Source organism: Homo sapiens, chromosome 6 (genome assembly GCF_000001405.40).
Source record: "Homo sapiens chromosome 6, GRCh38.p14 Primary Assembly".
In the NCBI taxonomy this organism is placed as follows: Eukaryota; Metazoa; Chordata; class Mammalia; order Primates; family Hominidae; genus Homo; species Homo sapiens.
Window position 1 is genome coordinate 111,328,311 of NC_000006.12, and position 17,631 is coordinate 111,345,941.

A 17,631-nucleotide genomic window follows, 5' to 3' on the forward strand; every position below is an offset into this window, starting at 1 on the left:
CTTAGGCTAGTCTTGAACTCTTGGGCTCAAGCAATCCTCCCACCTCAGCCTCCTGAGTTGGGATCACAAGTGTGAGACACCACACCTGGCTAATTGTGACATTTGGACAAGCCAACATAACTATAATCAGATCTCTTGTCAATACATAAAATGAATTATGCAGTACCAAGGCTGTTGTAAAAACTGCTACAAAGGTGGCACTGAAATTTTATGCTAATAGAAAGTTACAGTATAGTTATGAAGATCATGCAGAAATAGGTGTATGCTAATTTCTAAAATTATCATTGGAATAAAGACACAGAGGTATCTTATAGAGAAAAGTCACAGATCCCCAAGAATATATATATATTTAGGCTTGGCATGAGAAAAACTGATGTTATGTCATAGAAATGAAATGGTTTAAAGTTTTAAAACAAAATGAAATGCTTGAATGAACAGGCATTCATTTAATGCTGCTTTAGTCTCTTTTTTTTGAGACAGGGTCTCGTTCTGTTACCCAGGGTGGAATGCAGTGGTGCAATCATGGCTCACTGCAACCTTGACTTCCTGGGCTCTAGTGATCCTCCCATCTCAGCTTCCCAAGTAACTGGGACCACAGGCACATAACACTATGCCCGGCTAGTTTTTGCATTTTTGGTTAGAGATGGGATTTCACCATGTTGCCCAGGCTGGTCTCAAACTCCTGAGCTCAAGTAATCCACATGCCTTGGCCTCCCAAAGTGTTGGGGTTACAGGTGTGAGCCACTTTTTTGAGACCAAGTCTCATTCTGTCGCCCAGGCTGGAGTGCAATGGCGCGATCTTGGCTCACTGCAACCTCTGCCTCCTGGGTTCAAGCAATTATCCTGCCTCGGCCTCTTGAGTAACTGGGATTACAGGTGCCCACCACCACACCTAGCTTATTTTTGTGTTTTTAGTAGAGATGGGGTTTCACCCTGTTGACCACGCTGGTCGCGACTCCTGACCTCATGTGATCCGCCTGCCTTGGCCTCCCAAAGTGTTGGGATTACAGGCGTGAGCCACCATGCCTGGCCTTTTTTTTTTTTTTTTCTTTTAAAAAAGAGATGAGGTCTCACTATGTTGTCCAGGCAGGATTCAACTCTGGGCTGAAGACCCCCGCACCACATCTTAGCTTCCAAAGTAACTGGGAATACAGGTGAGTGCCACCGTGCCTCACTGTATTTTAGTCTCTTTTGAAAAAACTACAGATTTGTATCACTTACCTCAATGCATGGCATTCTCCCAGAAAAATTAGCAGATGTATAGCCAAATGTGACATTTGCTATCAGCTTAAGTCCCAACTGACGCGCATCAAGCATTCGTGACAGGGCTCTGTCTTGCTTGTAAGCCTTCATTGACTGCTTCACCATAAATCTAGTCTTCAAAATTTCTTCAAGCATTCTTGGTAGTACACCTTTTCTTACTGAAGGCTATCATAAAGAAAAAAAATGTTTAAAACCCCTCAAACATTATAGATTTACATAATTAAGAAGGAAGCATAAAACATAATAATGGCCAACTGTCAGGAATTGAAACATGCTAACAACAGAGTGACCATAGTATTAGTGGCCGTCAATATAAAATCATCACATTTTATTTCTTGGAAGAGGATTTCTCCTAAATGGTTCCTGCAATGTTTATAAATCTAACAGAGCACTTCTATGTGAGTTCAGAGACCTCCAGGGAGGAGGATGTCAACTAGTGCATAAGTGACCATACAACAACTTCAGAGGGAAATTTTGTTCGAAACTTTGACAGAAACCCCCATTCTTTCAAAATGACACATGGGACTTGTATCACTCATAACCAACTCAGTTTTTAAAGATCTCATCCTAATGACCCCACACAGAAATCTGCATGGAACTCCATTTATCTACCTTGGAAGAATGATGAGCTGGGTTGACTCTGCTGACATTCAAACCTGCAGTTCCAGGGACTCTAGGTATTTCAAATCTGATGCTTAGACCACTAAGCCATCCCCTCCGGCCTACATTTATTAGCAATCTGGAAGAGGGGATGAATAGTGAGGTGATAAAATTTGTTGATGCCAAAAAAAAAATCATTTGTATTCATCAAGACTAGGGAGAATTTATGAGAACTCCAGTAGGAATGAAAACCACAAAACAGTATTAACTTTGATGATGATTCACAGACACGTGCAAGGTAATGCATGTCAGACCTAACAATTAAAATCTCAGGTATAGGATATTCACACACCTGAATATTTAAAAAATCTTATTTTCATTAAGCTTTACACACTGGGTCCAAAAGTAGATGCAAGTTTAAAAAAAAGCTGTTAAAGGGAGATAATAAGCTGCTAGATATGCGACAATGGAACATATTCTAACCTCTAATTCATTTGGTGTACATTTTGAAGCAGCCATAATGTTTTAAGACATAAGATAAAAAGAACAGGGACCAAATTCGCAGAAATGTGACTGGAAAACTGATTTTTATATAGAGACCCATTTAATAAAAAAAAATCTGTTTCCATTTCTCCAAGTAGATCTCATCTACATCAGTCCTTAGAAATACTACATTTTAAAATTTTCCAAAAAGAAACATACCATGAACTCTTTGGTTAAAATTTTCTTCATCTACATGGCTAATTTTAGTTTAGTATTCCCTCTTACTGGTAGAGAATGATGCCACTTTTGATATAGTACACCAGAATGAATTTGAGGGCTGGTGGGGTCCACTCTACCATCAACCACTCTACTGTCTCATGATTCTAGTACAGACTCACTGCTAAGAAAATAGAAAAGAAAGGAATAAAGTTGGCATTTAAGAGGCAATATAATCTTCTTTTAAGATGTCTCTTATTTGTCTTTAATTTGTAAAGTTTTCCTCTGTCTCTTTTGAGGGGAGATACAGGAGAGAAAAAAGGGACCCTATTTTTAGTTTGGATATCTTCTGAAAAATATAAACAATAAGCCTATTAGAGTATCATTAATTCTAAGATAGTCTTAATTTAAAATAATGTAGAAGAACAACTAGTAGCATCTACACATTAAAACAATTTAAATCTTTGTAGGTAATATATTTTGACCATTAAGTTGCCATTTAAGTCTGCCTGATTCTAATAAAGGGCAGAAAGTATAAGCATACGTTTATTTCTTTCAATATTTCGTTAACTAAAATTTAACAATTTAAAGATTTAAAACCTAAATTCAAGAAAAACAAGGTGACTGGTTTGTTCCTGAAGTGATTTCTTAGAAGATTCTCATATCTTTGACTTTTTGAGATAAAATATTCAAGCAAACTCGGTGTTTTTGTTTTCTATTATGTGCCAACAATATCTAAACCATTATCAGCTCTCCAAAAGTTAAGCCATAGTTGTTATCTTTCATTTACAAGAGAGTATTACCTTGACAAAAGCTACTCCATTGGGGGACACTGTGATATCATGCCTAACTTGGTAAAGTAAATCTGGAGGTACTCTCAGAGAGGTACAGCCAAATTTGAACTCATCATACCTGTTAAGAAAGAGAACATTAAGCAAATACTTCCTCAAATCATAGAACAGAGATTTTACGCAATTTAAAAAATCTTTCTAACTCCATTAGAAATTCATTTTCAAACATCTAAACAAGAATTCATGTACTTAGTAATATGTTTATTTGCCTCATTACCAAAATAGTTTTTCAAATATTCATAATTTATTACAAGAAACATTTCTTAAATGGCACTATCCTAAAATTTATGGGTAAAATCTATACTGAAATACCAAATTTCAACTCAACATCTGATCATCTTATTTATTTTATTATTATTATTTTTTGAGATGGAGTCTCGCTCTGTCACCCAGGCTGGAGTGCAGTGGCGCGATCTCGGCTCACTGCAAGCTCCGCCTCCCGGGTTCATGCCATTCTCCTGCCTCAGCCTCCCGAGTAGCTGGGACTACAGGTGCCTGCCACCATACCCGGCTAATTTTTTGCATTTTTAGTAGAGACAGGGTTTCCTCATGTTAGCCAGGATGGTCTCGATCTCCTAACCTCATGATCTGCCCGCCTTGGCCTCCCAAAGTGCTGGGATTACAGGTGTGAGCCACCACGTCCAGCCCAATCATCTTATACTAAATTACTTAAATAAAAATTTATTTTAACATCCTTGTGAATATATTTAAAGAATAATTTAAACCTTAAATAGAAATACTGTAAATCTTGTAAATTTTCCAAATTCCTGTTTTTAATAAAAAGACAGGATTACCAATATAATTTCCACAGATGCTTTCTATGAAGGAATATAGGATATACTAAAACCAACACATGATCTCAAATACGCAAAAATCAATAAAAAGGAAGACTCCGTTATTTCCTACAATTTAAGAAAAGTATCTAATCCTTTGAGAATTTAAAATGTTATTATCAGTTTATAAAATTTAATTTACATTAATTAATAAAACCTAACATTTAATTTTTAAAATCCTGGACTATTTATAAGAAAAATAAAGAGGAGGTCTAGTTGAAGTTATAAGATCATAATCCTCAAACTGTTCCACTGAAAGGTAATTTACATCAACAATTTAACTTTCATTTTAAAAGAGACTATAGTTACATATGGAGTGAAACAGTTGCAAGGCTGACCTATTCCCAATCCTCTTCATGAGTCATCCATCCATGAAGCTGGATTAATCATATGGTGATCCATGTCAATTGGTAAGACAACTATAATGAATGGATTAGCTGGGATACAGTCCATTTATCTTGCTCATAGGGAAGGTGTCCAGAGCAAAGAGACACTCAGAAAGTGTCTAATTTTAGTAAGAAGTACAAAGCACAACAATATTATTGTAAATGTGAAAAAAACCTTACTTTCCCAAGTTCTCCACATGGCCAAGGCAGGTGGAAAAGCAGTAGTTATATGCAATCACAATAGAAGGATAAAGTGATTGGAAATCCAAAACGAGAACAGAGTTGCTATAGAAGCGGGATTCAGGCTCCATAATTAGAGGAACACACTGTGGGGCTCTCATCTGGGATCTTTGCTGAACACTAGGTGTCACAGGAATATAGTTCATTGGTTTAGCAATACGCAACATCATTGATTCCACACGGTACTGCAGGGAGAAAGGGAGGTGAGAAGAGAAGAAACACAGTTAAATATATTGGTCATTTGAATATATAATCATTTGAGGATAATCTGCTTTTCAGAATAAGATTGTATGACTTTTTTTTTTTTTTGAGACAGTGTTTCGCTCTTGTTGCCCAAGCTGGAGTACGATGGCACGATTGCGGCTCACTGCAACCTCCGCCTCCCAGGTTCAAGCGATTCTCCTACCTCAGCCTCCCGAGTAGCTGGGATTACAGGCATGCGCCACCATGTCCAGCTAATTTTTTGTATTTTTAGTAGAAACAGGGTTTCACCATGTTAGCCAGGCTGGTCTCGAACTCCTGACCTCAGGTGATCCGCCCACCTCAGCCTCCCAAAGTGCTGGGATTATAGGCGTGAGCCACTATGACCAGCCTGTAATACTGGTTATTTAGTCAGCTTTCAGATGCGAAAAGGGATATATGTAAATCCTTTTCCTATTCCTACGACTTTTATAAAAACTATAAAACATGTCAAATAACTTAAAAGATAAGTCAATTTTAAAAGACAGATGCAATTAGATCTCTTTTTATTTTTATTATTTACTTATTTATTTTGAGATGAAGTCTCGCTCTGTTGTCCAGGCTAGAGTGCAATGGCAAAATCTCGGCTCACTGCAACCTCCACCTCCAGGGTTCAAGTGATTCTCCTGTCTCAGCCTCCCAAGTAGCTGGGATAACAGGCTTGTGCCATCATGCCCAGCTAATTTTTGTATTTTTAGTAGAGATGGGGTTTCATCATGTTGGCCAAGGTGGTCTTGAACTCCTGACCTCAAGTGATCCCCTGCCTTGGCCTCCTAAACTGCTGGGATTACAGGTGTGAGCCACTGCACCTGGCCCTCTTTGTATTTAAATACAGCTACACCATAATAAAAAACTGTAGGACAGACAGCTGTATAGTTTGACAATTTCGTTTAAGAAGTTGGTTGATAATCCTGGAGAAATTTATTTGGGAAAATTAGAGAATTAAAAAGCTGTCAGGAGACTTAAGATAGAAAATGTTATCCCAGTTTTTCAAAGAAAGAAACAAAATGATTATAGAATTATAAAGTATTGAATGTGGCTTTTGTTGTGGAAATAATTAAAAAATAAAAAAAAAGAACTGAATAGTAATCAGCTTATTACTGGTCCCTAGCAAAACTGAATCAAGCAATTACTGGTATGTTTGTTTCTAATAATAACTATTAGAAGGCTTGGGGTATTAGAAAAAAAATTACTCACAAGAACCAGCCTGGGTTCACTGAAGTATTCTCATGAGGTTTTAAGGTATTTTTGCCTTTTATTACAGACTAGCTCAAACAGTTGTTAAATTTGATGGGTATAAATAAAATAAATAGCTTATAAGCAATTAAATGAAATAAACAGGTAAAACAAACGTAGTTGGAACTCTATTTTTGCTATATTTACTGAACTGGTTGATTATGTTATAGACACAGGTAATTAAAATAAGTAAGGATTTTACAACGTTAAGGAATCTGAGTGTTTTAATATGGTATCGCTGATGCCTACCACCGTGCTTAACAAACTACAGGTATTCAAATACATATTTGTTGAATATATAAAATCATTTTCAGCAAGGCGTTTAGTAAAAATCTCTCATTATATCCTTGGGAAATTACTTAGATATGAATTAAATGGCTTCTTAGGTTTCTTTTTTTATAACATTTAAAAAAGTTACATAGTCCACTTATATTGATTTTCAAGCTTTTTATTTTTATATTAAAATTATCTATGGGAAGTTTTAACAAGCCAAAATTAAAAATGTAAAACAAAAGAAAGGTACTTTCTTTGTTGCTTCTCTAGTTTTAAGGGACATCTTTAATCACAGTAACAATATTCAGGAATATTATATCCTTAAGGGCATGGACATTTATTTTCTTAATACCATAAAAAACTTGGCAGTGGCCGGAAAGTTGGCATAGAAAGAGAATAAAATGACAAGATTTAATTACCCAGCTATTGATTAGTTGGTACCAAACAGAAAGTTTAAAAAGTCAAATCACTTCAAACATCACAAAAGTGTATCACTCATACAGAACTTTCAAGTCTGCAAGAAAACTGATTTCCCACCTGTGAACCCCTTGTCAGTACATGTAAAAACTGAATGCCAAAAAGTCTAGCCATCTCACTGGTTTTCCCAATCAGGTCCAGCTGTTCTAACATTTGGAGATTTCCACGGACACGGCTAACATAATGATCAACCATTTTCCATCTGTTAAAAAAGAATCCACATTATGAACATCAGGGAAAAATTTGGACACTTGAAAACAGTACTTTTTTTCCTGCCAAAAATCTACATGCTAAAAGTGAGGTTACTTAAGGAAAGAGTAATGATATGAGCCTTTAAGCAAAGTATGCTAAGGAATTAAACATTAGAAAATTTTAGGTATTTCAAGGGCATGAAAACCAGTAAAGATACACAAAATTTAAAATAGTACTTGTGATTAGGTGGTAAGATTAAGGATCACTCTTTTTCAATATTTTGCTTGATGTTGCTCTATTCTTTTTTTTTCTATTCTTATTATAGAAAATTAACATTCTCCTTTAAGATACAGCTGCTGATTATGCAATAATTATTTATCATATCTATAGATTTTTAAAGAACATGAAGGGTCTGGGTTATCATTGTAAGTCTAAAATAAAAACATGCACTATGTTCATGGCAAAAAAAAAAGAGTAATTTGGTGAAGATTTAGAAAAATCAGGAACATAAATTTTAGTGAGATAATACATGGGTTAAACATATTTCAATAAGTATTTTTTGTTAAAATATAAAAGTTCTGTTTTTCAGTTTAAACCTTAAATTTAACCTCTTTACCTTACCTTCTTAAGAAAACAAACAATAAAACCCTCAGCAAATCCATAAAAAGAATTTTAATATTATAAGATGTAAAAATGACCCAGAAGTATACTATAAGGAATAAAATTTATTCATTTGAAGATTAAGGTTCACATATATTGTAATCTTTAATTATATTGCTTTTAGAACAATATAGTCACATAATTGTCTAATAAATGTGTTTAAAGACCTTTTCCTCAGACACATGACTAATGCTTAATAGAAAAACTAGAAAATGCATGTGAAGGAAGAAAAAAATACCCTATTATAAAAAAGATAATAACAGTATATTACCAAGAAAGTAGAGACATTGGAATCCTCATATACTGCTGGTGGGAACGTAAAATAGAGTAGTTGCTTGGGAAGATAATTTGGCAGTTCCTCAAACAGTTAAACATAGAGTTACCATATAATCCACCAAAAATTCTACTCCTAGGTACATATCCAAAAGGAATGAAAGAGGGTATCTACACAAAAAACTATATATCAATGTTCATTACAGTATTAATCATAGTAGCCCAAAGTGGAAACAACCAAAATGTCTATCAACTGATGAAGAAATAAAATGCAGTATATATCCATACGATACAGTATTATTCAGCAATAAAAGAAATACTGAAAGATGCTATAACATGGACAATTCTGGACAGCATTATGCTAAAAGAAGCCAGCCACAAAAGATTACATATTGCACGATTCTGTTCATGTGAAATGTTGAGGACAGTCAAATTTATTTGGGAAAATTAGAGAATTAAAAAGCTGTCAGGGGACTTAAGATATAAATCTATGGGGACAGAAAATAGATCAGCGGTTGTCTAAGGCAAGAGGTAGAGGGTGGGGGGACTCTGGTGGAGGGGGTGATAGGAGTGATGAAAGGTTGAAGAGTGGTGGCTAGGTGATGCAGGATTTCCATTTAGAGTAATTAAAATAGTATAAAACTTACTGTGATGATGTTGTACAACTCTGAATATACTGAAAGCCAGTGAATTATATACTTTAAATGGGTAAATTGTATGATATACAAATTATATCTGAATAAAGCTGTTAAAACATTAGGCAAACATGAAAGAATCCTAAACTCTATAAATGTTTAAGAAACAGAAATTTTGTTTCATAATTTACATTTTTAACTTAATATACTGACTCCCCATATTTATGTTTTGTAGCTATCGAGCGTGCTATTGTATAATGATAACATATTTAATCGAAACACTTACTGAATATCTTTTATTACTGTAAGCAATGGTATGATGAACATTTTTAAAGCTAAGTCTTTATACAGATGATTAAATAATTCCTTAAAATAAATTCCTAGATTTGGTCAGTTTTCAATACCTAACAATACACTGCTTTCCAGAAAGGTTTTAATAATTTATATTCATACTAGTGATGATAAAGTGCTTGTTTCCTTGTATATTTGTTAACAATGAAGATTATAGTTTTTAAAATTATTATGAGTTTGATAGACAAAAAATGATACATTTTAATCTGCATTGTTTTGTTTTAGATCATTAATGTAACCCCTCAACAATACAAAACTGCAAAGTGTAAATCTGAAATAATGCATTATGTACAAATCAGATCAGTCCCTTTAAAATAGAACAAAATGGATTTAATGGCTCACCACTCCTTCAGGATGTGTGGATTTATCTATGGAGAGTGCAGAAAAAGGAGATAACATTTACACTTTGCCCTCTCAACATATGGACAGAGAGCTGACCTGGAGAAACATGCCAAATGAGATACCAAAATAGTGAGACACCAACATAATTTCTGAAAATGCCAGGCAGCACACAAGCATTTTGCTGAGATTTGTAAAACATGAGAAAAATAAGTGTTAAGTCTCAACCAACACAGGTTTAACAGAAAACTTTAAAAAGGTATGTATTACACATATATAAGAATCTGTTTCAACAGATAATCATGCTGACTGGGCACGAATATTTCCTTGAAATCTGTAGGTGGTGATTCAGGAGAAGAGTTACCAATTGAAGTATGTTGACGATAATTTGTTTCGGAAAATGTGTTTTAAAACATACTGGTTTATTTTCTTTGTTTACTCCAGTCTAAAGTCCTTTTTTTTTTTTTTTTTTTTTTTTTTTTTTTTTTTTTTTTAAATAAGACTGATCTTGCCAATAGGTTTTTGTAATTCATGGTACAATTAAGAAACATAATCAGCAGATTAAGAATTCCTTTAGTAAGGTAAACATTTGAATATTTCAGGATTTTTTTCCTTTGATAATTGTTCATGTCTTTTACCCTTTTTTTTACTAATTTAAAAGTATATAATATAGTTAATATACATAACTGTTACGGTGAAAATGGTTTTCCTAGGTTGATGTTAGCTTTTTACTTTTGTTGATGTTATTTAATGAAGTACAGAAGTTTGTTTTTGGGCAAAAATGGTGAAAGTAAGTCTAATACTTTATATACAAAACTGATTAAACTGAATCTTAAAGGTTCCTGATTTAAGTGATTTGACTAAGATCAACTCTATTTTTTTAGGCAGTATAGTCTATTAGAACTTAAATAAATGGATATAATAGTATATTTCAAAAGAAATATTTTTACTATGCTACATATAACTAACTCTTTTTAAAAAGTGGAAATGGTTTATTTCACATTTTGAAGAATATAGTCTAAGAGATTTTCACATATTGGTTGACAGCACAGACTTTGGAGTGAGATAGTCGTAGGTTCAAATTGTGGCTCTACTGCAAGCTGCTACGTGACCCTAGGCAAATCATTTAACTCTCTAGTTTTCAGTTTCTGTATGTGTGAAACAGTGGTTTCACTGTTGTAAGGTGAAACTGTTGTAAGGTGTTAGGCAAAAGCAAAAACTTAATAACCTTTGCTGCTATTATTATGATAATTATGGTAATTACTATTTCCCCATTTCATTCAGAATCTAATTCTCTATCCTGAAAAGAAAGACGTACCAATTAATTAACATTTATTGAGAGCCTTCTGTGTGTTGAAGACTCATACTATCTCATTTAATTCTTACTTCACTTCATGAGGTAGAATATATTAACATCTCTCTATTATAGATAAGAAAACTGAGGATTACTGTAAGACTAATCCATCCTAGTTTACAAACCTAGTACACTAGAACCTGAGATTTTGGCCAAATAAACGAAAACATGATGAAAAGAAAACAAGATAATACATTATAAATGAGTAACTGTCTTGTTAAATTTCTGTCATCACAGCAAAGTACTCATTTCCTCACTAACAAAAATGGTAGACCATTTTGTGAAATGAATGCTTATTCATTTCACACTAAATGTATTCCTCTCCACTGACTGGTAACCAAGTAATATAAACAAATTAGATGCATCTTATCTTTCATAACTAAAGGTTAATTTAACAAGGGACATTTTATCTTATACAGTTTATCCAGCAGGTAACAACTGCTGTTTTCTGATCTAAATCTGCTGACCTATAGGCATGAATATAAAAAATACTTTGAATGGCTAATTTAAAAAAATGTATTTTAGACTTTTTAATTTAAAAAAGTGATCTTTCCGAAATAAAATCATCATCCTTTCTACTTTCGGGTCCTATCTGACTAACCATATAACATAAAAGAGAAAGAGTAATTGTGGCCTTTACTTATGGTTAAAGGAGAAGATTGACTTTTGTTAGTTTTTTAAATTGTTGTTAAAGAATTATGCCATCCTCCTAATGCTTTGTCAAACTTAACGGTAATAAATACAAGTTTTGATCCGGAAAGGAGGAAGGGAAACATACTTATAAAGCACATGCTACTCAGGATAGGCTTGGGTAGTGCTGAAATGGGAACTTAGAGCATCCTGAAGGCATGGATATTTTTCAAGATAGTTCATCTGGGGAGAAGGTGACAAAAAAGGAGACAGGAGAATCCCGAGTACAAAATTCACTTATTCTGAAGTTTTTCTGTGGACTGGCTCTATACTCAGCAAATAGAAAAGAAAATTTCTTATATTATCTTCTTCAGCTACAGAACTCTGCTCCCAGGATATACCTCCTAGCTCAGAAACTGGAATCTGGAATAGTATTTAATAACTATTCCTTGAATGACAGATAAAATCATGCTGGTATTAGGAATTATATAGATTAGTAATATTAGAGATTAGGAAAAGTTTTATAGGCTGGCTTAGGAATCTAATCACAAGACATTATTTTATGAAAAAATGTGTTCTAAGCTTGAAACAATAAAATGTTGGGAACATAATTCATTCATATAAATCTGGGGCTTCCAGGAGACAAAAATCTGGGTTTATTAAAAAAAATTAGGGTACCTTTGTGTTTTACAGGTTTAACACAAGAAATCCTTGACTAGCAAGTTCTTCTCATTCTAAGTCGATTTACAATATATATGTATGTCCTTAAAACACTGTAGAAAGCAAATGGAAATCAAAAGGGGTTACCATACCTACCAAAAAAGTAAGTCAGACTTATTTTTTTGTATTCACTTAAAGTTAAGAATGTACTCATTTAAATTTAAGTATTCACTTAAATTTAAGAATGAAGTTGTCTGATATTTCCAAGACTACTCAAAGAGTGCATGGTCTTCTCATATAACATAATCCATTTGACATAAATGGTCTAATGTCTAGTCTAAGTCCCTTCTGTACAATTTTAGTTCCAGTCCTCTATTTTACTTGTCAAAAACAGTTATCATCCTAGATAATACCTAATTAAAGGTGGTAAAACATGTATTTAGAGATTCCGGGGCTTATAAACAAACCACTGAATATAGTTTTCAATGTTAAGTTAAATATCAAGTTTTATTTATTGGTGTATAATTTCTCCTCAGCTTTTTTTTTTTTTTTGAGATGGAGTCTTGCTGTGTCGCCCAGACTGGAGTGGAGCGCAGTGGCGTGATCTTAGTCACTGCAACCTCTGACTCCTGCTCCCGGGTTCAAGTGATTTTCATGCCTCAGCCTCCCGAGTAGCTGGGATTACAGGTGTGCACCACCATGCCCGGCTAATTTTTTGTATTTTTAATAGAGATGGGGTTTCACCACATTGGCCAGGCTGGTCTCGAACTCCTGACCTCAGGTGATCCGCCCGCCTCGGCATTCCAAAGCACTGAAATTACAGGCGTGAGCCACTGCACTCAGCCAACTTCGCCTCAGCTTCTATTTCTATAAGGCTTTGATAGAAGCTAAGTGCTTTCTGTTACTTCACTTCACTTCCCTGAGATTCCTCAAAAGTGATTGGAATATGCGATGACATGCTCAGGAAGCAGTTTCCCCAAATATTATCAAGTTGTTTTCAAAGCTATACTTTTTCCATCCTCACCACCATACAGCCTTACAATTCAGTAAGTACAGATTCACTCATTTAAAAAATTAGACACATTAATTTAAGGACTTTTCCTAGACACAGTGCAGTGTGCCACAGTCTACACAGAGCAAGGCTGTCCTACTAAGCCAAAGATGAACAGCTCAGAGTTCATTTAGGCAGCTCACAGCTCGAGTCTGTGGGACGGAGCACAGGAGAGAAAGGGAGCTGTGCAAGTGGCAGGAGTTGGGGGGGGTCAGAAGTATAGCTGGATTCCTTATGAGTGATAGCTCAAGGCTGTCCCGAAAACGAACAGGATGAAACCACATGAGGCTGAATAAAGAGCAGCTCGCTGGGGGTTGAGTGTGGGCAGAAATGGTCAGATAGTGCTGGGGTTGGAGGCTCACCAATGCCAGAGTGGAGAGACCTCATCACCCCCTTGTTAACAACCTTGGCATTCAGTTGTGAGCCCAGAAAAAAACAGAGGCCTTTGCCCTAGAGAAAGGCCTACTCTAGATAAAACTTAAAACCAAATACTGACAATATGTACAGACGACAGAGTTTGGAGATTGAATCCTACATCAAGTTGGAGGAGCTTAGGAAACACCTTGGGCCTGGTATACTTGCCTGTTCCAACCATAGGCTTTGAACTAAATAACAAGCAACTGGAAAAGGGGCAAGAAAACTTCCTGTCATAGATTCCAGGCAAAGGAACAGTATCACTGAGAAAGGAGTAGAAGAAAATGCTATCTGCCCCAGGGGGAGGGTCAGGAAGCTTACTTGGGCCCAGGACCTGCCAGTGGTACAAAGCAGAGGTCTGTTGCCTCTGTGGGAAGAGCAGGAGTGCTGAGCAAACCCCAGAAGAATAGGAAGATCCAGGCCGGGCACGGTGGCTCATGCCTGTAATCCCAGCACTTTGGGAGGCCGAGGCGGGCGGATCATGAGGTCAGGAGATCGAGCCCATCCTGGCTAACATGGTGAAACCCCGTCTCTACTAAAAATACAAAAAATTAGCCAGTTGTCGTGGCGGGCGCCTGTAGTCCCAGGTACTCGGGAGGCTGAGGCAGGAGAATGGCGTGAACTCGGGAGGCGGAGCTTGCAGTGAGCAGAGACTGTGCCACTGCACTCCAGCCTGGGTGACAGAGCGAGACTCTGTCTCAAAAAAAAAAAAAAGAACAGGAAGATCCAAAGACTGAGGTTAGACAGGAGAACTGAGAAACTCCCCCTGCCTCCACTATAAACCTTGCAGAGAGTAAAAAGTGACATCGGTCAACCACTCATTAAATCTGACTTTGGAAAGAAAATGAATCACAAATACTGGAAAAATGAGAATAACTGTTGACTTCTCATCAGCAAAATGAGAGGCTGGAAGGGAACAAAATCTTTAGAGTGGTGAAAGAAAAAAACGCAACTGAGACTGAGAAATTATCCTTCAAAAATAAGGGTGAAATAAAGACATCTTCATATAAACAAGGGCTAAGATAATTTTTTGCCAACAGACTTGCCAAAGAAAACAGATTAAGTTTCTTAAAATGTTAACACACAACAGCCATATGACCCAGTAATTCTACTCCTAAGAGATATGAAAATGTATGTTCACATGCTGACTCATATGCAAATCTTTATTGCAGTTTTATTCATAATAGCCTCAAACTGGAAACAACCCAAATGTCCATCAACAGGTGGGTGGGTAAGTTATATTCATATAATTGAATACTATTTAATAATAAGAATGAACAAACTATTTATGCAACAGAAATACATACTATGTTTTCTGAGTTTCTTCAAAGCCAAGATAGATTATGAATATTTCCATTAATATGAAGTTCTATAATTGGCAAAACTAATCTACAGTAATAGAAATCCAATTAGTAATTATCTAGATGATTAGGGATGGGTAGGTTGACTGCAAAGCTGTAGAAGGGAATCTTCTGGGTGTGAGATATGCTCCTTATCTTGATTGGAGTAATGAGTACAAGATAAATGCATTTTTCAAAGTCATTGAACAATAATACACTTTATTTATTTATATATTTTTTGAGATAGAGTCTCACTCTGTCGCCCAGGCTGGAGTGCAGTGGCACGATCTCGGCTCACTGCAACCTCTGCCTCCTGGGTTCAAGTGATTCTCCTGCCTTAGCCTCCTGAGTAGCTGGGATTACAGGCATGCATCACCACACCTGGCCAATTTTTGTATTTTTAGTAGAGATGGGGTTTCACCATGTTGGCCAGGCTGGTCTCGAACTCCTGATGTCAGGTGATGTGCCCGCCTCGGCCTCCCAATGTGCTAGGATTACAGGCGTAAGCCACCGCAACTGGCCTGAACAATACACTTTAAATGTGTGCATTTTATTACATATAAATTACATCTCAATGATGATTTTATATTACCTTCTTCAGAGTTATAGAACAGTACCTGTATAGATCTGTCTTGTTATCAAACCAGTCTGACAAGACTCGAAAGGTAAAGAGGGGAAAACGCTGATGAAGAACATGAAAGCTCACATTTTCAAAGGTGTAGTTAGTTAGAGCCACCTAAAAAAAAAGGCAAGACACCATTATAATAATGCTTACATTTATGTAGCAAATTTGGTTCTAAAAGATACCAATATCACTTTAAACTTTTCATAGTAGATATTAAAGCTACTTGTAAAACTGATGTGCAGTACAACTGAATCATAATTCAAAACTATGTAGAGCCTACTGGACAGAAATGTTCATAACAAATTGGAAAATTATTTAATTAGAGAAAGCAGACCTGATGAGATTCAACTTGGTCATATAATACTTATTTTAAGAGATTCTAGTTCTTACCATTTTTATACTCCATGATAATATACATATTGACAGAAGCATTGTCAAGCAAATTAATTTTTTGTTCTTTCCATACTTACTTTTTGGTTCTTGATGACATGCTGATTAATGGGATTCCACAGATTTGAGGTGAGTTATCTAGTTAAAGGCAGGCATTCTCCTCCCAATAATTACATTAGTTACTAGACCCCACTACACAGACATTATAGAGCCACTCAATTTCATTCCAAAAGCAAAATACTAAAATGTCAGAAATGTCTCCCCATGTTCCAAATACGTAAGTGAAAGCAGTGTTAATGGGTAAAGGATACTGTAAAAGGGCCCAAATTAATAAATATGTACTTCCAGCTAGATGATTTCTCTGAAATATCTACAAGACAAAAGCAATCTAGACAATGGCAGGTATTTCAATGCAAAATGGAAATTAAGGAACCAGTAGTCCCCATTCTTAGGTCAGTTTCGGATTCAGAAATAGTTCAAACAGCACTTCACATTTGTATATTACATTATAATTTTAAATTACTTTCTTTTCCACTCCTGTGATCCAGGAGGTACAAAATAGGGATTGAATGTTAATCTTATCTCAGTGCAGTGACCCAAATTGGTCTTACTTTATCTACAATTTCTGTCAATCTTCAGAACAATGGCACTACAATGCAGCACACTTCACAGTGTGTGTATGTACTTGTGTAGGTATACATATACACAGATGCCCCTCATAGGTTGTAAAAAGGTAGAGAGCAATAGAATGAGGAAAAGGCCACAAGATTAAATGAGGAAGGATTATAAAATCACTAACAGAATGAAAGCTCATATTGAAAGCAGTAAATAGCAGAACAGTTCTACTAAATAGTTCTACTAAAAGTCAAGTTAGGAATATGGAAATGTCTCAGCATGCAGATAAAGAGGATGAAAACATGAAAATGAGAAGAGGGAAGATATGGGGAACAGAGAACAGAATGTTAATATATAATTAGGTTCCTAAAGGAAAGCCTAATATGGAGACAGGAGCAATAATCAAATATATTAATTAGCTGGACCTTAGATTTCTCCTCTGCAGTACTAAATTCCAGAGGTGAATGGCACTATATCTACTTGAATTTTAAAGGAAAAGGACTACTGTTATTTTATATGCAGTAAGTGTAACAATTATGTGGGAAGAAAATAAAGATACTCCTTGATTCCTTGAACTCCTCTTCTCTAATGATTTTGTCCTCCATCCTACCTAAGCTACCCACTCCCATAATCATACCCCAGGATCTATCAACAGCTGTACTCCCTCCAAAATCTCATGCATCCCATTCTCTGACCATCATCTCCGGTGCTTCCAGCTTACTCCCCTTGATGCTCTGACCTCTCTGCTCCTTATTTAGTTTAAATTTCATAGTCAATCATGGTAATCATTCCCCTGCATGTACCCTTCATTCCCTTGTCCCTTTCCTGCTGCTGCCGCCTTTTTTTTTTTAATTTTTAAAGCAAATCCATAACCCTTTGTGAGTGATGGTTAAATCTAACTTGCACCTGTGAATTTGAACATAGCTGGTGGGTATCACTTTAATTTCCTAACCCAAATCTCAAATGGGCTCTTAATGTGGCCCAGTGTTTATATTTTCTCTCAA

The 17,631-nt window shown here is 35.7% G+C and overlaps 1 protein-coding gene across 13 annotated transcripts in view; it reads right to left on the reverse strand.

The window, feature by feature from the left end:
• Nucleotides 1-17,631, reverse strand: part of REV3L (REV3 like, DNA directed polymerase zeta catalytic subunit) — a 184,679-nt gene that overhangs the window by 29,278 nt on the left and 137,770 nt on the right. For 10 of the 13 annotated variants that reach the window (NM_002912.5, NM_001286432.2, NM_001286431.2 and 7 more), the window contains 5 exons: nucleotides 15,615-15,733; nucleotides 7,159-7,300; nucleotides 4,813-5,057; nucleotides 3,366-3,474; nucleotides 1,222-1,428 (listed from right to left, as the gene is read on the reverse strand). In NM_002912.5, coding sequence (NP_002903.3) covers nucleotides 1,222-1,428; nucleotides 3,366-3,474; nucleotides 4,813-5,057; nucleotides 7,159-7,300; nucleotides 15,615-15,733 — 822 coding nt within the window. Of the gene's footprint in view, nucleotides 1-1,221; nucleotides 1,429-1,877; nucleotides 2,003-2,591; nucleotides 2,747-3,365; nucleotides 3,475-4,812; nucleotides 5,058-7,158; nucleotides 7,301-15,614; nucleotides 15,734-17,631 lie in introns of those variants that run through there. The other 3 variants (XM_047419219.1, XM_047419217.1, XM_047419218.1) reach the window with 2 other exon arrangements.